Raw genomic sequence first — 26,428 nt, 5'->3', positions numbered from 1 at the left:
TAACCACCTTTCATTCATATTACAAATGACTTTCACGTTTGTTTCTTTTTCTCTATATCATATACATGTTCTAAAGCGTCATTTTCACCTTGCTTCATCCATTAACTTTCTGAACTCTGCCCACTTGTTGCCTTTGTTTATGCTTGTTAAGGACATCATGTCTACTCCTTCCTGTTCAGCTCAGCTGCCTCTTCTTCCGAGAGTTCTCTGATAGCTTCCCAGCCCCTCATAGTGCTAAGTAATCCTACTGTTCTTTAGCATATCCATAGCGAAGTGTTTGTAATTGCCTAGCTTGTATTGATTATGGTGACTTGGATGTTGATCTTATTTTCCTCACTAGATTCTGAGCTCCTTGAAAGTCAGTCTTCATCAGTTCCATCTTTGCATTCATTCTTCATTGTCCCTGGCATTATATCTTGTACATAGTAAGTGCTCAAAAAATACATCTTTTTGAATAGGTAAATTATTTGTGGCCAGGTATGGTGACTCATACCTGTAATCCTAGCACTTACGGAGGCTAAGGCGGGCTGGTAGCCTGAGGTCAGGAGTTTGAGACCAGCCTGGCTAGCATGGTGAAATCCTGTCTCTACTAAAAATACAAAAATTAGCCAGGCGTGGTGGCACATGCCTGTAATCCCAGCTACTTGGGAGGCTGAGGCAGGAGAATCGCTTGAACCCTGGAGGTGGAGGTTGCAGTGAGCTGAGATCATGCCGCTACGCTGCAGCCTGGGCAACAGAGCAAGACTCCATCTCAAACAAAAAAAATTATTTGTGAGCTTAACAATTGAGAGTCTCCTCGTCTGCCCTAAACTTGTCGAAATGATTATTCAAATCAACAAATAACTCTTGAAATCTGTATGCATAAGGGAATAAATGCTATATACTGTCAGGGATACAGAAAAGTTTAATCAGGGCTGGGCAGAAATTTACAATCCAGAAAGGGAGAAGGGCAGATCTGAGGGAGGGGCACATTGGGGAGAAGGAATGGCTATAATAAATGATCAGAAGAAGGAATTTGCATGGGATGTAGAAATCTGCCAATTTAGCTTGAGTGGAATTCTTATAGAGGAGGACTAGAAAATGGTTTAGGATGTTTCATGAAAGATTTCACATGCAGGCTAAATTTGGATTTTATTTTCTTGTGTTTATTATTTTAATAATAATATTTTATGTTTTGGTTAGAGTTTTCTATGGTTACAAAGGTATATACTTTATAATTTATAAATAGTCTAAAGAATTTGGTGTATATTTGATTAACAGTTACATGGAGGTATCACATTCTGATTTATATTATTGTGACACTAAAGATATAAAATAAATAACTATTTTGGAAATTTGGCTTAAAAACATAACCATTTGGTTTTTAGTAAAGCTTCTCTGCACCCACCATCACATTGGCCATAATCTATAGTAGCATAAATAAAGATACTTTCTAATATTGTCCAGCATAACTTTGTACTTGCTTTTGAGCTCCTGTATTTTATAAAGCAAAACATGGCCTGTACATTATATGAGCTCTTCTGAACTGGGAAAGTGTTCAGTTTTGTTTGCTGTGAAATTGATTCTGGCTTTTGGAATGCCACCCCAGAGTAACTGAGGTTTCTGTTGCTCCTGCTTACTTGTTATTGCTTGAACCGAGAGTCCTGCCTGGTTAGCTGGCCGGAGGGTGCTGTGGTCAGGGGGAGTCCAGTTCACAGTCTCTGGACCAAATGGTGTGACATTGCATGCCCTTTGTCAACAGATTGCATAATTAGTAAGGAGCTTGTAATTGCACATTTTACCAAAAGAAAGATGAATTCTTCCCCGAGTGTGTATCTGTTGTCCTGTTCTTGTACTTTTTGCCAAACAAGCACTGTTTATAGGTGAGCTGCTTGGACTCAGCCCAGGTGAGAGAAGACATACGTCTTAGGACTTCTGAATAGTCTGTGAACTAGGGTTTGTTTATTCCTAAATATTATTTTGCATTTTCCCTGAACACAAATATTGATAACTAGTGATAAAAAGGGATTAAGTATTTGTCACTCGGTCAAATCAAAAGCCATATTTAAGGCTCTACTAGGTGCAAGGGCATTTGACTGTGAGATAACTGTGTCATTTCTTAGTTTACAAAAGAAAGAATTTTTATCCCTGTTATTTTATGGCTTCCTTTTTTTTTTAAGTTTATTATTTTAAAACTTTTACTTTAGGTTCAGGGGCACATGTGCAGGTTTGTTTATAGGTAAACTCGTGTCATGGGGGTTTGGTGTACAGATTATTTTGTCACTCAGGTACTAAGCCTAGTACCCAGTAGTTATTTTTTCTTACCTTCTTCCCCCCCACCCTCCTTCCGCCCTCTTTATACCGATGTGCTTTTCTGATGGATCTTTGCTTTGGTGTTGAAATCAGCTCTTAATTAAAAAGGAAAGGATATAAAGTGCCTGTGTTTATGTGGCCAAGGAACTGTCTTTGAGTTACAGCTGAGGGAGTGGATCTCAGGGTTTGGAATCCTTGATTTTTTACTGTCTGAACTTGGCAGTTGGGGTTCTTCCTGCGTTGCCTGTTACTAGTTATTTCATATTTGTTTGCCTTATTTTCTCAGATTGAAAATTATCTTACAGTAAGCAAGCTTCTTCCTTTATAATTCTTTATCTCCTCCGTAACATGCCAGACATGTTGTAGAAGCTTTTGTTTATTGAGTGAATTACTCCAGATAGCGGATCATAGTATCCTTTGATAGTTGGCTTATAATCTCTATGAACTGTGAAATAAGGGTGGTATTGTGGCAATTTCAAAGTATTGATAGGCCATTGCTCTCTTTGCCAGTCCTGGGAAGAGAAAAGAATCTGATACAATGCTTCTTCATGTAGTGAATTTTAAGACAGTTGTCTAAGAGAACTCCGCCTCACCTTGGGCCAATGTTGAGTGGACAGTTGCACCTTTTTTTTTTTGTAAACCAGTTTTTCCTTTTAGACTTGAAAGTCCTGATAACCAGGGCTTATTTAGCACCTTGGCTGCAGCTGTCTCTGACAAACTAGCCAGGCGTTTTGAGGCCTGACACCTGTGTTTCCCTTTCGCCTAGCATGGAGGGGTTATGAGAGGATGTATTGCTACAGTGCCTTTTGTCCTCTCTAAGCAATTCTGAGAAAGAACTTGTCACAGGAAAGTACCTCGTTAAACACATTTGACACTTTCTGAATTTTCTGTACTTCCTGAATAATCCAAGGTCCCAGAAGCCATTTTTCATTTTCCTGAAAAATGTAGCCAGGATTCTGGAAAACTTGCCAACTTATTGTTGCCCTTGATCAAGGAATAAAACATTACTACTTTGTGCAACATGAGTGAATTTTCTTAGTTTACAAAATGCCAAAAGGCTGATTTCATTTTAGTATTTCCCACCTAGATAATAAATACATAATAGAGGCAGAATTAATAAATACATATTCTTATCTACCCCTCTGAAGAGCTCTATCAGTCAAGGTTCTCTGCTTGCAAGCAACAGAAACCAACACTGGCTAACTTAAGCAGAAAATGAATTTATCTGAAAATGGACTCACTGGGAGAAGGGAGTAGAAGCTGAAGGATGGCCTCTTAGAAACTAGGGCAGGCTCAGAGAACTCATCTGTGAAATGGATGAACTCTGGCCATTTCCAATCTTCTGTCACCCACCTAAGATTCAGATTTCTGGGAAAAAGTGCCGATTTGGAGCAGCCTGGATTCTGTGCTAAGTCTTTAGACAGGGGAAGGCTCAACAATATGATTGACAGCCCCTGAGGGAAATCTGGGTACAGTTGGTGGAAGAAGGGGAATGATGGTGTTACAAATTACACATCTTCACTGCAAAAATACACAGCGTGAAAAATAAAGTGACACATGGATTCTCCATAGAAGCAAGCCCTCTGATTTTACTGTTTGCTAAGTCTTTGTTAAAATAAAATTTCTTATTCTGGAGTGGAAAGAAGTAAAGGGGTTAGTGACTTAGTTATATACGAAGTAGCTAGCTGAATTTGACTCTAAGGATTGAATATAATAAGCTTGGGATTATCCCATTTCCACACCACCCCCACCCCCGCCAGCTTCAATTGTTTTAACTCTCTAAGCCTTGAATTTCTCCATCTGTGACAAATAGTAATGGGATTATTTCAAGGGTTAAATAGATAATGTATGTGAAAATGTCTCATAAATGGTTTTTGAAAGTTTTGAAGTTATAAGAGGAATTGTCATTATGTAGAGAATGAATACTACTAACCTTCCATCTTTTTAAAGAATAAAACAAAAAAACAATGTGACCAGATTTAGGAGGTATTTAAGGAAAACCTCAGAGTCACTTCAGAGTGACAGTCATTGAAATGGGATACTAAAAGAGGTACAGAAATAAAGAATAAAACAAAGAATAAAACAAACAATGTGACCAGATTTAGGAGGTATTTAAGGAAAACCTCAGAGTCACTTCAGAGTGACAGTCATTGAAATGGGATACTAAAAGAGGTACAGAAATCTCCTTATCTGGCTGTGTTCAAAATAGAATGTATTTTTAACATGTGAATTTCTTTAAAGCACTTTTGCTAAAATAAAGCTAGGAATGTACTAGACAACCTCTAAAATTCTTCTCAACACTGTTTTTCTTCATGTTGATTTTCTCATTCTGAAACTCTAAAAAAGAGATGATGCTGTTATTAAAATTATTTTCTTATATTTTGAAGCTTTTGCCTTTCTTGAACTTTATCCATTCTACAGCACCTATGAAAAATTTTTAAAAAGACAATAAACAACAGATTTGCTTTGATAATGGTCTCCAGCCCAATAGAGATTTTTTTCTTTGTATCTAAATCCCATACGTGATTGTAATGATTACATCTATGTTGATTTTTTTTTTTTTTTTTTTTGGTGTTCAAAAGTAAAATATCAGATGAAGGTTTTTGTGGGTGACAGTGATTTTAATTGGATTCTTGGCCACAGGGTACCAAAACAGCCTATGCTTTTTCATAGGGAAACTTTCTACTCCTGCTTCTATAAATCTTTGAGAGTTTTCTCATCTTTTTTTTTTGTTTTGAGACGGAGTTTTGCTCTTGTTGTCCAGGCTGGAGTGCAATGGCACAATCTCGGCTCACCGCAACCTCCGCCTCCTGGGTTCAAGCGATTCTCCTGCCTCAGCCTCCCAAGTAGCTGGGATTACAGGCATGCGCCACCATGCCTGTCTAATTTTTTGTATTTTTTAATAGAGACAAGGTTTCTCCATGTTGGTCAGGCTAAATCTCAAACTCCCAACCTCAGGTGGTCCGCCCGCCTCGGCCTCCCAAAGTGCTGGGATTACAGGCATGAGCCACTGTGCCTCTTGGCTTTTTAATAGTCTAAAGGAATCTATGGACTTTTCATGGCCAATTTGATGAGTCAGCCACCTCTTTTTCTAAGATTGGTTTACTGCTTTCTCCCTTCTCTCCAGGACTCTTGGGAGTTGAATCACCATGGAGTCTCTGGTAACTATATCAACTTTCAAAATCCCTTTCTATAATTTCTTTTCTCTTTTAATATCTTGCAGATACTTCCTAGCCACATTTTCTTCTCCTCCCTTTATCTTTGCAGTTCTTTATTCATTTTATACCCATGACGGCCATGTAAAAATAGCAGATGAATATGAGATATTTAAAATTCCTTGTTTTCTTGGCTAAAGTTAATTCGTAATCCCAAGGCATGCCATATTGCCTTTCTAGGATGTACATCTAAGTTCATTTTCATCAGAGGAGGGTTCTGAAACAAAGGAAGACTTCAGCAGTGGACTGAGACTGATATTTTTTTCTTTTTCGATAATAAAAATTTCAAAAAAATACAGAAGAGTGCACACAACATCAGTATTGAGTCGTGTGTGTTTTTCCATTGTCAATACATGTATATCTGGATTTTTTGATCTGGGTCAATATAACCATAACCTCAGAAGATTCTTCATGCTCCCTTCCAGTCAATACTCCCAAGTTCCGAAGGATGACCACTATCCTGACTTCTGGTAACGTAGATTAGTTTTGTTAGTATTTGATCTTGGTATGAATGAAGGCATACAAAATATATATTCCTTTGTCTCTGGTTTATTTTACTCAACATTGTGTTTGTGGAATTCACCCACGTTGTTAACTTGTAATTCCTTTATTCTCATTGCTATGTAATAGCAGTGCCTCACAGAACTTTCTGTGGTGATAAAAATGCTTTCTATCTCTTCTGTCCAATACAGTCGCCACTAGCTGCATGTGACTATTGAGTTGTGAAATGTGCCTAGTGTAACTGAGGAACTCAATTTTTACTTTCATTTAATTTTATTAATTTACATTTAAATTTACATGTGACCAGCAGCTACTGTACTGGACAGTACAGTTGTATGACATTTTATTTTATAAATATGCTATAATTTGTTATAATTATATATATATAATTATATCCTATTATAAATTTGGGCATTTCTGGCTGATAAAAATACTGCAAATATAAACATTCCTGTACCTGTCTTTGGTGAACATAAGTCTGCATTTCTTTGGAGTATGTATCTAGCATTTGGAATTCCTGAGTCAGAAAGTATGCATATAATCAGTTTTAGTACGTAGATACTGCCAATGAGTTTTCCAGAGTGATCATACCAGTTTACATTCCCACAAGCTGTAAGAGTTCTAGTTGCTCCACATCCTTGACAACAGCATTTGGTATTCTTTTTGTTTTAGTTATTCTCATGGCTGGTATTACTAGTTTTGGTTTGTGTTTGAGACTGGGTCTCAGCTATGTTGCCCAGGCTGGTCAAGAACTCCTGGGCTCAAGCAGTCCTTTCACCACAGCTGGGATTACAGGGGTGTACCACCTCACCCAGTAGTCTTTTTAATTTGGCTATTCTGATGGCTGGATAGTGGTATCACATTGTTGTTTGAATTTGCATTTCTTTGATAACTAAGCATCCTGAGCACTTTTTTATATGTTTACTGGCTATTTGGTTATCTCTTATAAAATACATTAATTTTTTACCCTTTTTCCATTGGCTTGTCTGATTTCTCATTGTTTTGTAGGAGTTCCTTTTATATTAAGGACATACATCTTTGTTGAGTAAATGGCTTACAGATGTCTATTTTGTGGCTTTTTGTTTTCTTAATGGTTCTTTCAGTGAAAGTTCTCAATGGTAAGATAGCCCAGTTTATAATTTTTTCCCCTTCTAATAATTGCTTTTTTGTGTCCTTTTAAAGTAATCTTTGCCTACTTAAGGTCATGTAGATAATTTGCTGGATTTTCTTCGAAGTTCTTTATTGTTTTACATTTTACATTCAGATCTAAAATCCATTTCAGGTGGATTATAGAGTATGGTATAAGGTAAAGGCCAAGTTTTTATGTTTTTTATCTGGATATCTAATTAACCCAATTCATTTATTGAAATGACCATCCTTTACCCAGAGCAATACAGTGTCACCTTTGTCACAAATCAAGTGAATGTATATGTTTGAGTTTGTTTCGGGACTCTCCATTCTGTTCCATTGATCTATTTTGTATATCTTTGTGCCACTGCTGTGCTCTATTAATGACTGAGCTTTGCAATGTTTTAATATTGGGCAGCAGTAGAAGTCACTCAGTGTTGTTTTTCTTCTTTGGGATTGCACAAGAGCTGAATTTATTCCTGTGTACTTTTAAAGAAGAGCATTTTTTTAACTGGCAGGTAGATTTCCTAGGGTTAATCCAAATGTGTTAATTGTTCTCTCTAATGCAGACATCTTCCTTTTTCTTGAGGCCTCGGTTTATTTCCTTATCCAGACTGTGTTAGCTGCATAGCTTAGTAAAAGGACTTTTATTTTTCCTAGTTTGATAATACGGTTTTCTTTTTTAGATCAGTGTCCTTATTTATGAAGGGTGATGGTGGCTTCATTATTATTCAGTGATGTTCTTTCTCACTTTAAGCATTTCCTCTAACAAGAGTTGGAGCTGGACACTGAGTGCAATGGAGTTCTACCAAATTCCCCTTCCACAAATCGCTTTTTGGGCCAACATGGCTCTACAGCACCGGATTTTGCATCAGAATCCCTTCGAGTTTCTTATCTTCACCATCTGTAGCATTTAGATTGAAAAGGCTTACCTGGGTTTTCTTTTTTTGTGTTTTATGATCTCAAGCTATTGGGAGTAGACCAATTCGTGTGGCTCAATATGAGAGTTAAAGTTACGTCAGAAGGTAATGAAAGCTGATTTTGCCCTTTTATTAACTATAGTATTTTAATCCTGGTATGTAAAATTATTACTCATTTGTGCCTAATGCAGATAATGGGAAGCAGCTCACTGTGGTAAAGTAGGGGCATTAAGCACAGGTGCAACTGTAAACATGTATCCACATACACACGTATACACACACTCATGTATGCCAGCAATGACCTTTGGACACTACATTGTATATGTATGTGGGAATAAAACTGATGGACGTCCAGCATTATCTCTAAATTGTACACATGCAGTGACTGTCTTTGCATAATGTTCCCCCAGCTTATGCTTGGTGGCCTATCTGCATTGTTTTTCATCTCATCTCAAAGTAACCTAGCTCAGCTTGTCTTCAGCTCATGCACAGCTTCCACAGCCACAGCTCAGTTCATCTTTAGCTAATCCAAATCGTTTAAAATTGGATGAAAGGAAGAAAATTAACACTTGAGGGCAGAGATTGGGCCTTAATTACTTAAACCTAGTTCAGTATTTGACATATGGTTCTACTCTGTTGAATGAATTAACGAGTGAACACTTGTTGACCGTGATGGGTTTTGTGTACTGTGTGGTATACACACAAGAACACAACTACTGGAGTCATACACAACTTGGTTTGAAACATACTCTACGACAAAACTGTTGTGTGGTGTTAAGCAAATTAATGTCTCTGAATTCCAGTTTTCTTATTTCTAAAATAGTGGTGATTCTAATGCCTAGTTCACAATGTGTTTTGAGAATTACATAGTCTGGAAAAGTTGAAAGTGTTGTCCATTGTTAAATGGAGATGATGTTCTTTAGTCATTCAACAAATGTTTGCTAAGTATCTCCTATGTTGTAGTCAACAGAAACTGATATGGCTGATTAAAAAAAAAAAATAGCACTCTAAGGAACATTACTGATTGGTCCAAACACATGAGCGAACTCTGCTTTAGCAGCCTGTCTCTAAACTGCTCTCAGCTGCTTAGACAAACCTGCGCAGAATGACCAGGAATTGACAGCCACCATATAAAACACATGTGGCATAGTTTAACGCATTTTAGTAGGAAGTTGTGAAGCTGGTCATTTGGCTGTTCTTGGTTAACTCCTGGCAAAGCATCAGATGAATACTTTCCTTGTTCTTTTAAACCAAGTAATGTATTGTTTTCCCTTGTTAATTTTAAAACAATGCATCTATTTTCAGTTAGGCAGAATATATTTGTTGGAGCCAAGGAAAGTGAATGCCTGAATGGAGGTCGAGGGAGGATATGAGAAATGCTGGGGCATTTCCTTCTCATTTTTACGCCACTGGAGAAGTCATCTCAGTGATGCACTTAGTTTTTGCTATTGTAGAAAATCAGGGTAGTGCTTACTTAATATTTAGCAAAGCAATAGTTTCCTTCATTTTAATAGCATGTATCAAAACCTAAAAACTTGTTGCTTCTCAGGAATTGTAGTCTTATTCTTTATTATATTGTTTTGCCCTAAATTACTTACACCTGCTATGCAATTATGTTTTTAAATAGTATGTTGTTAACCTACTCATGATTTTCATTAGTACAAGCATGTATATCCAAACATGAATATCAGCAAGAAATGCACTTTAAAAAATGACTTTTTGTGTCATTTCATGTTATATTATGATACTTTTCCTTTCAGGAGAGAAAAAAATAAGCTCTTCATTAATAGCTGCAGTTACTCATTTTGGCTTTTCCCGTATAAATGTATACTTTTACCACCTTTATTTTCCTGATTTTATGTTTCTTAAAGTGAATTTGTTAAGAAGATACCTTTAAGTTGTTGCTACCACTTTGTAAGATGCATATGCAGTTGTTGTTTTTTTTTTTTTTACTATCTTGTGTTATTTGTTAAAACTGAAATGTAACTGAAAGGACTGGCATATATCAAGAAATGTGATATCCCCGCTGAGATGAGCAGTAGTATTGGATTGGCTGGTAGGTTATCTGCTTCTGTCAATGTGCACACTTCCTTTGTGGTAAAAAGTATAACGGTTTTGAACTAAAAAGAAGACTGTACTGAGTGTTGTCGATATTGGCCTCCCTGTGAGGTGGTGAAACGTCCTTAAAAACAGTGCTTCTGTGGTAAGAGTTCAGTTAATTAGGTGATTGTGTGTGCATTCTCTAAGGCACTAGCCTAGTCTTTCTTCTCTTGACCGTCTTCTAGCCATTTTACTATCTACTGGGCAGCTGGTGGATGGCAACAGGATGAGATCATGTAGCTGTTTGATTGTATTAATGGAACACTGCAGTCAAAGTACCTCACTAAAGTTGGGGATTAAAATACTTTTAGATTCACCTTTCAGTTGACCTTGATCCTTGGCATAAAATAATCAATACCATATGCTTTGTGGGTGGCGTGTATCAGTGTTGTGCAGTTTTTGCCAGCCATGGAGGAGAATGGTGGCCCAGAGGAAGGGGTGCCTTTTTCTCTCTACAGCACTCTCTTTTTGCCAGACTCTATAAACAGAAAGTGGAGAGGTGGGTACATTATTCTCATATGCACAGAAGTGCCACATATTCCAGTGATGACAGCTTTGGGTCTTCCTAACTGAATGTGAGGTTGAGAACATTGATTTTGTGTTCTAGAGTATTGCTTCTCGAACTTGAATATGTATACAAATCATGTGAGGCTCTCATTAAAATGCATATTTGTATTTCAGTAGATCCAGGGTGGGCCTGAGATTCTGCTTTCCTCACAAGCTGATGCTGAAGCAGCCCAAAGTAAAGGCCTCTTGGAAGTAACTGACTCTCTGCCACCAGAGGCAATATGAAATCACCAGTAGGCTACCTTTTGGAGAGAAGATCCCAGAAAATACTTCAATAGGATTTTGGCCATGAGACATTCAGCAAATTATTTAAACTCTCCATGCTATGCCTTGTCGGAAATGTGAGGAGATAATAGTATTCACTTTGTATGGTTAGTGTGAGCATTAATGACAATATATAGATGCAAAACTTTTGGGACAATAACATCAACATAGTCAGTGTCTACTAAATGGTTGTTGAATTCTTCCCAGAAAGTGCTAGGTCAGGAGAAATGTATATCTGTTTGGGGAAAGTGCACAGTATTTGAGAAGAAATTGCTTATTGTTTAAAGACATACAAGAGGCTATGATCCAAGAATGAGACTTGGGTTCCATGATCCGGTGCAACAGTGGTTTCTTGGGAGCAGTGGCTGGCCTCTGGTAGGATTTAAGGCATCAGAATGTCAATGAAAGTGGGGGCCCTTCTGAAGGGGTTCATGGATTTCTGTCACTGCTGAGATAAAGGAGTCTTAACTTTTTTCCCTTGACTGCAGGGTGTTTGTAAGGTAAGGAAGGAGGCAGATAGTCGAATAACGAAAGAGGCAAAGGGACAGAAGAAAAAGGGAGAGAAATAACTTTAGCCAACCACTTCTGGGCCTTTTTCATTTAATATGCTCCAAAATGTGAGGTAAGTAGTAGTGTTCTAATTCTACAGATGAAAAATGTTTAAAATACCTGCCCCAAATAACTCAATTTTTAAGTTTATGGGGCTGGATTAAGCCCAACCCAGAATTAGGCTTAATTCCCTAAAGGCAGCTCGTATACTTGACTCCATAAACACCTTTGGCACCTAGGACACATGTATTTAATTTTCTTGTGCAAAAGAGTAAATGCAGTTACCTGTGGCCACTCCAGCTGTCTTTCCACCACTTCAGCCAGCTAAAGTTACTGCCGTGTCCCCAGGACCTAGCAAAGGGCCTGACCCACAGTTAGGCTCAGTAAATACTATGGAATGAATGAGTCAGTATTTAATCAGAGAGCCGATTACATGATACCACTATTATTATGGATCTTTTAAACTTTTAACTCTGATACCACCTATTTGATTTCTCCTTCTTGACTGTACACTCCTTTTACTTGTTCTTTATGTTTTTTGTTAATCCACACACTTCACATCGACTTAAATAATTTTTAAAATGCCACCAAGTATTTTTCATTTCTCTTCGAGCCAGAGGAAGTGTAAGACATGTACTTTGCTTATGGGGACTTGCAGTCTCATTGGAGAGGCAAGATACTTAACAAAATTATTTAGTTCTTTAATGTGCAGTCAAGGCAGAGTTTCTATAGGAAAGCTCATATATTCTTTCTTTCTTTCCTTATTTCCCTTTCTTTGCCTCCTTTCCTGCTGTTCTGGGTTGGTGCATGTAGTGATGCATCTGGCAGTGCTGGGTGTTTGTCCATTTTCTGACCATTTCCCATGGCGATATCTTTGTTAGGAGCCAGGGAAGGCATCTTAATTACCACTGCAGTCTTGGGATAATGAAATGCACAACTCTATGAAAAACTTGGTCACAAATCAAGAAAGTGATTGGAAAGCTTATGCAGCAGAAAAATAACTTGCCCATGAATTATGAAACACCTCTGGTATGTGAACATAGCTGTACACTTGAAATTAAGAAGCTTGTTTCTATAAATACTAGATCCTTTTTTCTTTTTCTCAAATAGAAAAACATTTTATAAATATAAAGATAAATATGTTCATTGTAAAAATTCAGATAACATAGAAAAGCAAAAGAAGAAGGAAAAAATCACTTGTAATCTCACTGTGTGAGAAAGCCACTGGATTTTATGGTATATTCACATACTGAGATTTAACTTTGCACATACAAATGTAGGTTCACTGTCCCACATCTAAAACTTCTTGGGACAGTTTTCTTAGATTGTAGAAAGATAATGTGAGAAAACCCCCATTGAGGTTTGGAGTTGTACTGTGTAATCAAATACATTAACATTTTAGCAGCAAAGTATGTTAATATTTGCAATTAGTGGAACAAATGAAGATTGTAAATAGCTTTGCAGCAGGTTACATTTCCCATAAATTAATTACAAAAAAAGTCTTTTCAGTTCTTGGAAATTTGGAGATTTCAGTTAATAAGTAAGAGAGTATGGACTTATATACAAAATAGTGATTTTTTTTAATCGAGTATATATCACAAGTACTTTTTTCTGAGTTGTTTTCTCACTTGTGCCATAATGAACATCCTTGCAGGATAAACTGCTAGCAATGGAATTGCTGGGTCAGAAAATACACACATTTTTGAGGCTTTTGATAAAGATTATTCAATTGCCATCCAGAAAGATCATACCAGATTACTGTGTGGCATCTGAACTTGCCTGTTTTTACCACGTCGTTACCAACTCAGTTTTATTAGTGTTTTAGGTCTTTCCAATCTAATTGGTGAAAGTGATACTTTAATCTACATTTTTGAATACTGATGATGTACTTCATTTCATAAACGTTTGGCTGTAAAATTTCCTCTATATTCATTCCAGAGATTAAGATATTTTCAAATCATTAAACTGGGGCTGTTATCTTAGGTTGTTCTGGAGATACTAATTACATGTCAGGTAGTATCAGTTGCATTGGTTATTTTATTTAGAAATTATTTTTTTTTTAACTTTAAGTTCCGGGATACATGTGCAGAATGTGCAGGTTTGTTACATAGGTATACATGTGCCATGGTGGTTTGCTGCACCAACCAACCTGTCATCTAGGTTTTAAGCCCCATGTGCATTAGGTATTTGTCCTAATGCTCTTCTTCCCCTTGTCTCCCACCCCCTGACAGCTCCCAGTTTGTGATGTTCCCCTTCCTGTGTCCATGTGTTCTCATTGTTCAACTCCTACTTATGAGAGAGAACATGCGGTGCTTGGTTTTCTGTTCCTGTGTTAGTTTGCTGAGGATGATGGCTTCCAGCTTAGAAAGTAAGTTTTGTTGAAGAGCAAATGTTTCCGTAAGTGCTGGCAATCCTGAAGGACTCTTTCAAGAATCATTTGGACAGAATTTTCCTGAATATGAAAGCAGTATTTAATGGCATTGACAGCTAAAGGCTTCAGGTTGAATTATCTCCAAGTGTATGATCGACTTTTAAGTGAGAATAAGCAAGTTTATGCCCCATGTTCCTGTGCAGTTATCTCATGCAGTTTTCTGACAGTGTAAAATATTACAGCCCCACTGCATGCTTTAAAAGAGAAATTTTGAAATTTTATTCTTTCATTTTGTAGAGTCTGAAAAGATTTCCCCTAAGCCTGAAGCAGTGATAAGCTTTGGAATCACCTGGGGGGCTTAATTACCATGCAGACACCTGAGCCCAGCCACCAGAGACTCTAATCCAGTAAGCCTTAGACTGTCTTTTGAGAAAGGTAGCCCAGCTCTGATTTTAATCAGATTATTAGAACAATAGTAATACTCATAGGCGTGGTTTTGTAGTTGTAAAAACAGGAATTGTTACTATAATAGCAGTACTAATAATTGTAAAAATTTCTATTAATGGTAATGTTATGAATCTTTTAAGTATATCTGATAACTCAGCGATGTTCCAAGTTCCACATTCAATGAATGGGCAACTTCTGGATTTGCCTTTCTTAACATCTAACTTAATTTTATTTCTTGGTAATAGAGGATGAGTACTTGAAATTAGGGCCATTCTTAACTTCTGAACACAGAGAAAACTTTTTTATCACAAAAAGTCATTTTGGGAGGGAGGAATTAGTTTTCTTTAGTTGAACAATAGACTATTACAGACAAACCAGAAATTTTCTTATTGCCATTTCACTTTTGTATAATTTATTATATTTTGTATTTTCTTCCTCTGTGTGTGTGTGTTTCTTCGTGTGTCTCCTTTAAAATGATCCCATATAGAATCTAGCTGTTGTAAGCATTGTTCTGACCAATTTATACAAAAAATAATAGCTGCATCGTTTTCAAACATGTTGATGTGGTTCAGCATTTTGGAGTCAAAGAAACTGAAAAGAATGTTAGGCTACACCAGCTTTAATTTGGATCAACCCAAAAGACTTGCTAATTATTTTACCTAAGCACTAATTATTATGTGAACTTTATTCTTAAAACATAAACAGGGCCGGGCACGGTGACTCACACCTGTAATCCCAGCACTTTGGGAGGCCGAGGCGGGCAGATCATGAGGTCAGGAGATCGAGACCATCCTGGTCAACATGGTGAAACCTTGTCTCTACTAAAAATATAAAAAAGTAGCCAGGCGTGGTGGTAGACGCCTGTAGTCCCAGCTACTCGGGAGGCTGAGGCAGGAGAATGGGGTGAACCCGGGAGGTGGAGCTTGCAGTGAGCCAAGATCGTACCACTGCACTCCAGCCTGGGCAACAGAGCGAGACTCTGTCTCACAAAAAAAAAAAAAAAAAAAAAAAAAAAAAAAGCCGGTGTGAACTTCTGTTAACTCCACTGCCCATATCTCTTTTGTTCTAGAAATTGATTATTTACAGTTTCCACAGTCAGCTTTTTGCTAAACTAAAAGTGTAAGTATGCCAAAATGTGGTACAAGAGAGCAAGCTTATCATCCAAGTAGATGCAGGATAGATCATTAATCTTCCACACACTTGCTCTAGCAAGTGTTCAGCCTACCAGGCAAAAGGGCTGGGCTTTATCTAAGATCAGCAAGTCTGATCCAGCTTGCCAGAAAGCCAAATTATCCAAGTTGATATGGAAATTCCAAAAGGCATCCCATCACATCCTTGTAAGGGCATTTACATTTTGCCTGTTTTGAGAGTGATTTCACAAGATTTTTTTGTGTGTTTTGTTTTAGGGTTTCCCTAAAATATGGAAGGTATGTGTAGCCTGGCTGTCAGGTATGAGGAAACAGGCACGGGTTTTAGGTGACCTCCCAGAAGTCACACACAGCCCTGGAGTGGCAGTTAGAAAACTGGCAGTTCACTTTTGAGCATTTTTTTTCTCTCCACTTAAAATAAGGTGTGTATATATATGTGTGTGTGTGTATATGTATATATACACACATACATACACACACTTGTGCTTTAATGAAAGGTTTGGACTAGAAATGCTAGTGTCAGAAATTATTTTGCTTCTCACCCTTTTTACTCTCAGCTTCCCACAGGAGAATCACTTGCCTGCCTGTCAACCAGATAGAGCCTGCCTGGAAGGAGTCACCTTTAGCCCCTGGGGAAAGGAAGGGAATTATCATTTAGTGAGAGCTCACCCTTACTGGGCTGTCTGTTCCCACTGAGATGTTCTAGGATCTTCCTTTAAACACTTAAACATTTTCCATTTTCCTCCTTACAGTCCCTGCTTCTATCCTCTCCCTTGCATAAGTAAGGAAACTGAGGCTTTGTGAGGTGAAATACAATTCAGGTTGCAGAGTGAGGATGAAGTGAGGATGAGGCATCTCTAGCGTCCAACACCCATGCTGCCTTCTCTAGGGAATAGCTTCCATCAGGCAGCTGGGCATTCAGGTCCATCCTTGCAGCCTGAGTCTGTGACCAAGTCCACTTATGGAGTGGGATCTGGGGCTCCTCAAACTTTAATCTTGTTTATCTAGTCTGCTTCTCCTCCACAAGTACAGATCCTGCCATTCTGGGCTGACCTCTTCTAACGACCTGTGTTGCTCATGAGCTCTTCCCACCCCTGCCCTGATTAGCTGAGATACCAGGCACTTCTTCCAGGCTTTGCTCACCTCTTCATCTAACAGACCATTGACACCTGCTTGGAGATTGATGACAGCTACAAATTTTACTTACTCCTAAGATTATAAGTTCCCTGTGATACTAAGGCCTGGCCCAAATTGCAAAATTGTTAAAGCAGAAACTCCAGCTTGCATGTTGAAGGAATACGTGAAGTAAAAGAAAGCTGTGAAATAGGCTAACTCAGTTACCATAGCTTATGGTTAAGAAAGCTGCACTGGCTGATTGGGAAGCAGTTGCACACTCTCTAGGACCATTAAGGTCAAACTTGGGTGAAATTTTGCAGCCTCCATTCAAATTTATCCTGTTTTGTACAAAAACAAATTGGCGTTCATTTTTCTAACTTGGGTTAGGTTTTGTAAACCCTGTTCTGAAGACTAAGACCAGAACTCATTATCAATAACAGTTTGTGGATTCCTGATTTTATGAAAACCATCTTGATCTTTCTTCCTTTATTATTTTTAGCATTCTTGTTTTCCTTTTTAGTATTTTAAAACTAAATATTTTAGCTGATATTCCATGTCAAACCAAGTATCTCATCTTGTAATGTCATAATCTGTTAAGACATTCCTCTCAACTTTGTAAGCAAGGCTTTTATTATGTAAGTCAGCAACAAAGGTGGGATTTTAGATTAAGGAGGATGCTAGTGCTAATTGCCAAAGTAATCATACTGAAAAGCATTCTTGTTGAAACTCAGACATATACCACAAGTAAGAGAAAATGATATTCTTCATCAGATGAAATATTTGGAAATTAATTATTATGATAACAAGTGAAAAGCAAACAAAATACTCCTTACAAATATATTTTTACAAATTTATAACTTGTTTAAGGTGTAAGAACATTCTGAAAGTTTCATTTTGCATCAGCCAGTGAGTTTTAATGTAATGCTAAGAGGTGGAGGCATTAGTAACCCTATTTATGATAAATATAAATTCAGAAGAGTTAGGTAACTTGTTATGGTGTGAATGTGTGTCCCATCAAAATTTGTATGTTGAGATCCTAACCCCTAAGGTGATGGTATTGGGAGGCGGGGCCTTTGGGAGGTGATTCAGTCATGAAGGTGGAGCCCTCATGAAGGGGATTAGTCCTCCTATAAAATAGGCCGAAGGAAGCTAGTTCCCTTCTACTCAGTGAGGACACAGCAAGAAGCTGCCATCAATTAATTAAGAAACTGGCTCTCAGCAGACACTGAGTGTGCCTGTGCCTTGATCATGAACTTCCTAGCCTCCAGGACTGTGAGAAATAAATGTTTGTTGTTTATAAGCCACCCAGTTTATGGAATTTTTAAATAGCAACCCAGAAGGACTGAGACTGTAACTAGACTGAAACTGTAAAAGTATAGGATGGTAGCGTTCAAACCAGGATTTCTAGGGTAGCTGTGTGAGGAATGCAGAGGAGAGTAAGGTTCTCTGCCCCCAAGGTATGTGCCATTTTGTGAGGGCACAGACACTTATAAGACATTGAGGGAGCCTAAGAGAAAGAGTAGCTCCAGCTCGGCCTAAGGAGGAAGAGGCAGGACGGCTCTGCCAGGTGATGGTATCTGTACTGCTCTTGAAGATGGGAGGGTTTGGACAGATGAATGAGAGTGGGAGCAGAGTGAAGGCAGAGAGTAAGAAAGTACAGGAACAGTCCCAGGAAAGTTGAGTAATTTAGGGACTAAATACACAGATGGGCCAGGTTTTGTGGTGAGAGATAAGGCTGTAAAGGTGTAGGGGAATTGTATTGTAAAGAGCCTCCAATTCCACATCCTGGAGATTGATTCTAACCACTGTGGAGGCTGCCCAAGAGCCCTTGGGCAGGAAACAGATGTGATAGGAGTTTGTGTTTTTGGAATACAGGTGGCATGAGAGTGTGACAGTGTGGTACTACTATCGGGTACTACACAGGTGGTGTGAGAGTGTGGTACTTTCTGGAAGCAAGATCGTGACCAGGAGTGAGGAGCCGGAGTGAAAGGATGGACATGGAAGAGAAATGGCAGCTTGAGGATTCAAGCAAGTATTTTTATTTTGGTTTGCTTGTTTGGTTCTTTAACTTCAGGAGAGAACCGAGTGTGTTTGTTGGTCAGTGGAAATTTGCTGGTAAAGAGGGAAACTATTTGACAGTATACAAGCAATATAAAATACAAAGAAATGGAGAAGCAGGACACTCATTGCTTTGAAACTGTTGGGAGCAAGCAGAGAATTGGTGAAGTTTAAGGTTTTGAGAAGAAGGCGGCTTTTAACAGACAGTGCTAGTCAATTTTGTCTGAACTGGTACGGTCTTCTGCCAAGAAAGAAGGGTAAGTAAGTGGAGAATGGGAGTAAGGATTGTGGGAAAACATGAAGGAAAAAAACTGCATGGAGAAGCCAGGTGTGGTAGCACACACCTGTAATCCCAATACTTTGGGAAGCTGAGGCAGGAGGATAGTTTGATCCTAGAAATTGGAGTCCAGCCTGGGCAACATAGCGAGGCCCCATCTCCACTGCATGGAGTGTAGATAATTAGGAATTAGTGAACGGGAGTGAACCTGAGATGAATAAAAGAATTGTCTGTGCACCCAGTATCTAACCACAAGTAGATATTATCAGCCTGCCTTACTGGTAGTGAGATTCCGTATAGTTATCCCACAGTTTTCCATGAAAATGGAGAACATTGATAACATGAATAATTAAAATCTCCAGATGAGCTCTAAATCTCATTTTAGCAATAAGCTTCTATTGCAGTAAAATATCTTAGTGTCTCCTGATGGAGTGACAGAAGGATCTTTTTTGACTGTGTTATTCGTACATGTGTTTCTGTTAGAATGTGGAATACCTCTGGCCTCCACATTCTAAATTTCCTACTTATTGAAACTTAGACGTATACCACAAGTATGAGACATATACCACAAGTATGAGAACAGCTCAGCAGTCTTAGATATCTCAAAGACTCCAGGATTACTGATTGACTTAGTAACTGTGTCAGGCCAAGGAGACCTGATTGAGTCAAGAAATAGCTTTGAGTACTCTGTTAACTTGGTGAACAGGTGGACTCTGGAAGGGCTGAGTACATCCCAGAGTGGACAGGTTGGCAGCAGGTAACAAAATTTAAAGGGCATATTGTCTTTCCTGTAGCAATTCCACCCTGCAGAATTTGCTCTGCTAGAATGCAAGCTTTTGAGGCGGCAGGGATCATGTCTTTGTTCTTGCTGAATCAGCAGCACCTAGCACAGTTCCGTGCATTTGATATGTGCTTAATACATATTTGTTAAATATGTGATTGAAACACTCATAAAAGTGCAGAGACGCCATTCTCTGCCCAAGTTCTCTGAGGTCCAGTCAGATGGTCTTTTGCCTCTGACCTCTGCTGTCTTTCGCCTCTGACCTCTGCTGTCTTTCCTCCTGCACTGCCTTTGCACGTGCCACCCACCTCTTCATTCTTCCAGATTATTTTATGAGATGCTTTCATATGATTATATTCCTTTTTTTTCCTAGTCATGTAGTCCATTTTTTGATTTTTTTTTTTGTTAATGTGATTCTTTGAATAATGCCTGTGTCTCTCATTAAGTGTGGGATAGTATCCACTCACTCTTATATCCCTAGAACAGTGCCTGGTAAAAAGCAGAGTACACACACACACAGACACACACACAGACAAACACATGCACACATTAGTGAATGAGACCGGACACAGTAGCTCATGCCTGTAGTCCCAGCACTTTGGGAGGCTGAGGCAGGTGGATCGCTTGTGACCAGGAGTTTGAGACCAACCTTGCCAAGATGGTGAAACCCCATCTCTACTAAAAATAAAAAAATTGGCTGGGTGTGGTGGTGCATGCCTGTAATCCTAGCTACTCGGGAGGCTGAGGCAGGAGAATAGCTTGAACCTGGGAGGTGGAGGCTGCAGTGAGCCCATATTGCACTACAACACTCCAGCCTGGGCGACAGAACAAGACCTTGTCTCAAAACAAAACAAAACAAAAAAACGGGTGAGTGAGATTTGGTTGGTACAGCATTGTTTATAATAGTGAAAATTTGGAAACAAGCCAAATATCTATCAATAAGGAAGTAAATTATAGTACAGCTACTCTTTGGAATTCTTTTCAGCTGAAATAAACATTGAAGTAGAACTATATGTCCTGATCTAGAAAGTAATGCATGATATATTATGTCTTTTATAAAGCAAGTTGCAAACTATCAGGTATAATGTAATCCTGTTTTAATAACAATATATGCAAGAAAGAAACAACCTCAAAATGTATATGTTGTAAAAAATACTAGATGGATATAATAAATTCTTAATAGCAGTTTATTTCTGAGTTGTAGAATCAAGGATCAATTTTTATTTTGTTTCCCATTTGTTTGAAAAAACTCACTTTTTCCTGCTATAAATTGTATTCTCTACTCTTTTCACTTGTTCTTCCATCTGTCCATCCATCCATCCATCCATCCATCCATTTATTCATTCATTCATCAATCCATCCATTAAATCCAGATATTTAAGGAGCACCCATATGCCATGCATTGTGCTAAGCAGTGCATCTATAACTAACAGATAGGTTGCTCTTGAATTGCTAACCTGCTAGCTGGGTTACAAGCAAGTCCATGGGCAATTTATAATACAGTGCAGTAAGTGTTACAGTAGGAGAAACTATAGCATACTCTGAATAGGCAATAGCCTAGATGGGAGGGACAGAATGGCTCCCTAAGACTTTTTATTATTTTAACTAAAGATGATATTTATTGAGCATCTGTTCTGTCAAAGCTTTGGGTTGATTTAAGCCCAGTCACTGTCACCCAAGAGCCCAAAAGCTATTGGAGAGGGATGATGGCAAGCTGGTAATATATTGTGCCTTTTATTAGCATTAAGTAACAGTAATGCACAGCATGTGGGATAATGACTTCAGATTGTAGAGAAAGAGGGAGAAGAGCCTGGATTATCCAGTGACAGAACAGTTGGCCTCTTGGTAATTAAGAGTGGTTCTATCGTTTCTACAGATATTACTCTTCCATAGACTAAGGGTATATGATAATTCTGAATAAATTTTGTCATCCCGCTTTCTTGGCCCTTCTTACAATTCACTTTCTTTATCTTAAATGAAGGATTTCTTGCATTGCTTTTTTTTTTTTTTTTTTCCAGGGAAAGTGTTTTAAAAGTTAGTGAACAAAAGTTCACTAACTTTTGTTGTTGTTGATAATAGTAATTTCTGAACTAAAATAATGGGTTTGAATGACTGATGTGGGGGAGCAGGGAGTGGGGCAGGGGAAGTCCCAGTGCCTTCCAGCCTCACATTGTGGCCCCTGGCCATCTTGGCACTTAGCAGCTGCTCAGATCCTGAGTGGCCTCCCTTCACTCAAACATACGTTTTTTTGGTGTTTCAATTTGTAGACTATAAACCAGGAGCATAAGAAGGAGACAGTCTTAATGAGAATCTCAGGGGACACCCCCACCCGAAGTTTTGCCCAGGTCCTGCTTTGGAGGCTCATCAGCCCATGGCAGGAGCCCAGTGCTGAAGGGCAAGCCGGCTGAGGGCAGGCCAGGGAGAAGCTGCATCCTATGAAAGCAGAGACCATTCCAGCATTGTGCTGCCCCTGGTGGCTTCACTGTGAGATTAAATTGAATTTGCCTTTCGAAGTTGGCCACCTCTCACTTTTTTTTCTGTAGACAGTCCTTGCTGGTTACAAAAAGCCCTGGCTCCCTCATTGTGCTCTCAGCAAAGATTTAATAGCTGTGCTCTGCTGCAGTAAGGATTCATGTTACTAAGACTTCATTATTATTACAAAACATTCAATAGAGCTTCATCATAAATAATTTTAAAATCCCTGACAAAGAAAATAAGCTGAGCACATTCTGTGATCCAGCAAACTGATTTTCCCCGGCATCATAGTCGTCTGTTAGCCTACTAATTCCCCAAACTCCATAATTAACAGTGGGCAGCTCTGTTCTGCAGAGAATTACCCCGGTTTGGCACGGGTGCCTCCTTTGTAATGGGGCAAAGGGGCGGGTTGGCAGAGTTCCTACCAGTCTCTCAAATGGGACTTAAGTGTGTTTCCCTTTATAATTAAGTATCATTGTAATAACAGACATGCTTAGTCCTTAGTAGTGTAGATAACTTCTGGAGGACAAAACACAGCTGCCCATGCAATGTGTCATATGTTGTCATTTTCCTCTTTTATGACAAATAGTGAAGGAACAGAAATAAGTATTTGAAGCTAGAAGGTGTCAGCCAGATCCACTATGTTCTGAAGTGCATAGTAAATAATTAGGGTCATGAAATGAATGAAAATGGTTTGTAAAATTGAGCTAGTGCCTTCATTGAGCTAATGGCATGATAAAAGGGGAAGTTGAGGAGGAGCTGTTCTGTATTAAAATCTAGAAGAGACAAAATGTTGTTAGTGCATGTCCTTTGTTTGTATCCTGATTGGAACAAAGAAATGAGAAAAAAGAAAAGAAATATAATTTTTAGGTAACTGGTGAAATGTGAATATGGACCAGGCTTGATACCAAGAAATTATTCTTTCTTTTGTTAGGCATGACAGTTGGCATTGTCGTTGTATAAAAAAAGTTTTTATTTTATTGCTGCATATTAAAGCAGGTAGGGATGAGTGACAGCTTTAGGACAGATAGGACTTCCTCTGAAATACTTCAGTAAAACAGTTTTAAAACGTAGAATAAATGAAGCAAATAGTATAGTATGGTAAAATCTTGGTGATTTTTGAAAGGTTTATGGGAGTTTATTTTATAATTCTCCAAACTTTTATGTATGTTTGAAATTATTCCTGGTGAGTGTTTTAAAGTAACTGAGTTCTAGAAGGAAATAGCTACTGAAGTTTATTAAGTAATTCACAAGTGTTCCAATTTAGCTTCTTTTGTTGTAAATTTCTACTTTTAAAAATGGGGATCATGTATTAACTAGGTAAGTGCTAATAAACTGCCCCCTGCCCCCAGATTTGTAAATAAAATCTGTGATCAGGCTTCTATCCAGCATGTCTTCTACCACTTTGTAACTAAATGCAAAATTTTAGGTATTTTCTAATTTAGGAATTGTATGAGTCCATTTTCATGCTGCTGGTAAAGACATACCCGAGACTGGGCAATTTACAAAAGAAAGAGCTTTTATTGGACTCAGTTCCACGTGACTGGGGAGGCCTCACAATCGTGGCGGAAGGCAAGGAGAAGCAAATCATATCTTACGTGGATGGCAGCAGACAGAGAGAGCTTGTGCAGGGCAACTCCTGTTTTTTAAAATGGTCAGATCTCATGAGACCCATTCACCATTATGCGAACAGCACCGGAAAGATCCATCCTCATAATTCAGTCATCTCCCACCAGGTCCCTCCTGCAACACATGGGAATTATGGGATCTACAAGATGAGATTTGAGTGGGGACACCGAGCCAAACTGTATCAGGAATTTTCTGTTTGCCATTTTCCAGTCCGTTTCTTGTCATCTCTCACAAGGAGGAACAGAGGGTATCAAGAGCTGTAATCCAACTTCAAGGCCATGTTGGATTCTTCTGAGGGCCTCAAACCCTGCAGACCAAGAGAAGGTTCTCTCTAGAGTGTCTCCACCTCCCTCCTCAGCTCTGAGGCTTCCTCTAACCATCTGTGTAACTAGCAGCAGGATAGTACAGTGCCTAACACTGCAGTCAGATTCCCCTCACCAAGACTGGATCTGAGCACCACCACTTACTAGCTGTGATCTTGGGCAGATCAGTTACATTCTGTGTGCTTGATATTCTCCTCTGTTAAAGGGGAATGATGAAAATAAATAGCTAAGTCACAGGGTGGGTATTAAATGAACTAACACATGTGAAGCAATGACCAGAGTGCCTTGCACAGAGTCGATGTTTGCTGCCATTCTGTTTTTTTTTTTTTTTTGAGATGGAGTCTCGCTCTGTCACCCAGGCTGGAGTGCAGTGGTGTGATCTTGGCTCACTGCAAGCTCCACCTCCCGGGTTCATGCCATTCTCCTGCCTCATCCTCCCAAGCAGCTGGGACTACAGGCGCCTGCCACCACGCCCAACTAATTTTTTTTTTTTTTGTATTTTTAGTAGAGACAGGGGTTTCACCATGTTAGCCAAGATGGTCTCAATCTCCTGACCTCGTGATCTGCCTGCCTTGGCCTCCCAAAGTGCTGGGATTACAGGCGTGAGTGCCCGGCCACTGCCATTCTTTTTTTAGTTGATTGTTATTTTATTTAAGAGAAAATATTATATTGAGGTATAATTAGCATTCTTCTTAAGTTTATTATATAAATAAACACTTCTGGAAAATAATGCTCTTGATCAATGAAAACAATAATATTTATTCTCACCATTTTATCACAAGCAAATCCCTTAAAAAACATTCCATTAAAGGCTGGGGCAGTGGCTCACGCTTGTAATCCCAGCACTTTGGGAGGCTGAGGCAGATGGATCACAAGGTCAAGGGATCTAGACCTTCCTGGTCAACATGGTGAAACCTTGTCTCTACTAAAAATACAAAAATTAGCTGGGCATGGTGACGTGCACCTGTAGTCCCAGCTACTCGGGAGGCTGAGGCAGGAGAATTGCTTGAACCTGGGAGGCAGAGGTTGCAGTGAGCCTAGATCACAGCACTGCATTCCAGCCTGGTGACATAGTGAGACTGTCTCCAAAAAATATATATATATTTTTTCTATTAAATATATATATAAAATATATATTTTTTTTCTATTAAATATATATATAATATATATATTTTCTATTAAATATATATAATATATATTTTCTATTAAATATATATTATATATATTCTATTAAAACAGTGTATTATTAGCAATACTGCTTCTTTTATGACTTAAATGAAACATTTAAAATTTAGTTATATTTTAAGAATACTGTAATACCCTTATCTATGTAGTACAGATAACAGAGAAATAACATGAAAGACATGGCATTCTGGAAAGAAGAGTTTACAAACCAGACATCTCGATTGGAATGCTAGCTTTGTTACTTATTTGCCATGTGAGATAATTTCTCTAGGACACATTTTCCTCACCTCTAAAATGGGGGACACTAGAAGAGCCCTGAAGTCCTCAAGCAGTGCCTGGTATGCCGGAGCCATTCTGAAATCATCTCAGAGAAAATGTATTTCGAGAGTTTAGCATGGTGTCCGCAGGTGAGAGTGGGGAGGAAGAAGGTGTCAGACAAGACTGGGGCCCCTGCAGGGAGAGCAGACTTCACCTCTAATGGATGCTGAGGCTGTACCCTCTAATGGCTTAGTTGCAAGGACCTGATTTCCTTGAATTCTTCTTCAGGTGCCAAATAGACAAGAATCCATAAATTTACTTAAAGCTTGTACTATAAGTACTTGTATGACCTACTAGTTCATCTGTTTTCCTTACAACCCAGCTTTTCCTCATTGTTACCAGAAAGGGATCCCCATCCAGACGCCAAGAGAGGGTTCTTGGAGCTCGAGCAAGAAATAATTCAGAGTGAGTCCATAGAGTAAAGTGAAAGCAAATTTATTAAGAAAGTAAAGGTGTAAAGAATGGCTACTCCATAGGCAGAACAGCAGCATGGGCTGCTCAACTGAGTATGCTTATAGTTATTTCTTGATTCTGTGCTAAACAAGGGGTAGATTATTTATGAGTTTTCCGGGAAAAGGGTGGGCAATTCCCAGAACTGAGGGGTCCTCCCCTTTTCAGACCATATAAGTTAACTTCTGAACATTGCCATGGCATCTGTAAACTGTCATGATGCTGGTGGGAGTGTCTTTTAGCATGCTAATGTGTGATAATTGAGCAATGAGGATGACCAGAGCTCACTTTCACGGACATCTTAGTTTTGGTGG

At 38.7% G+C, this 26,428-nt stretch overlaps 1 protein-coding gene and 1 long non-coding RNA gene across 4 annotated transcripts in view; both read left to right on the top strand.

The window, feature by feature from the left end:
* Window positions 1-26,428, top strand: part of GNAQ (G protein subunit alpha q) — a 315,715-nt gene that overhangs the window by 112,121 nt on the left and 177,166 nt on the right. The gene's annotated exons all lie outside the window — the stretch shown is intronic.
* On the top strand, window positions 697-24,478 carry LOC107987081 (uncharacterized). Its single transcript, XR_001746758.3, has 2 exons — window positions 697-4,342; window positions 4,465-24,478. It is a non-coding gene; the product is annotated as an uncharacterized LOC107987081 (long non-coding RNA).

The sequence above is a fragment of the Homo sapiens genome, chromosome 9 (assembly GCF_000001405.40).
Source record: "Homo sapiens chromosome 9, GRCh38.p14 Primary Assembly".
NCBI lineage: Eukaryota > Metazoa > Chordata > Mammalia > Primates > Hominidae > Homo > Homo sapiens.
This window is presented reverse-complemented; position numbering and strand designations above follow the sequence as displayed.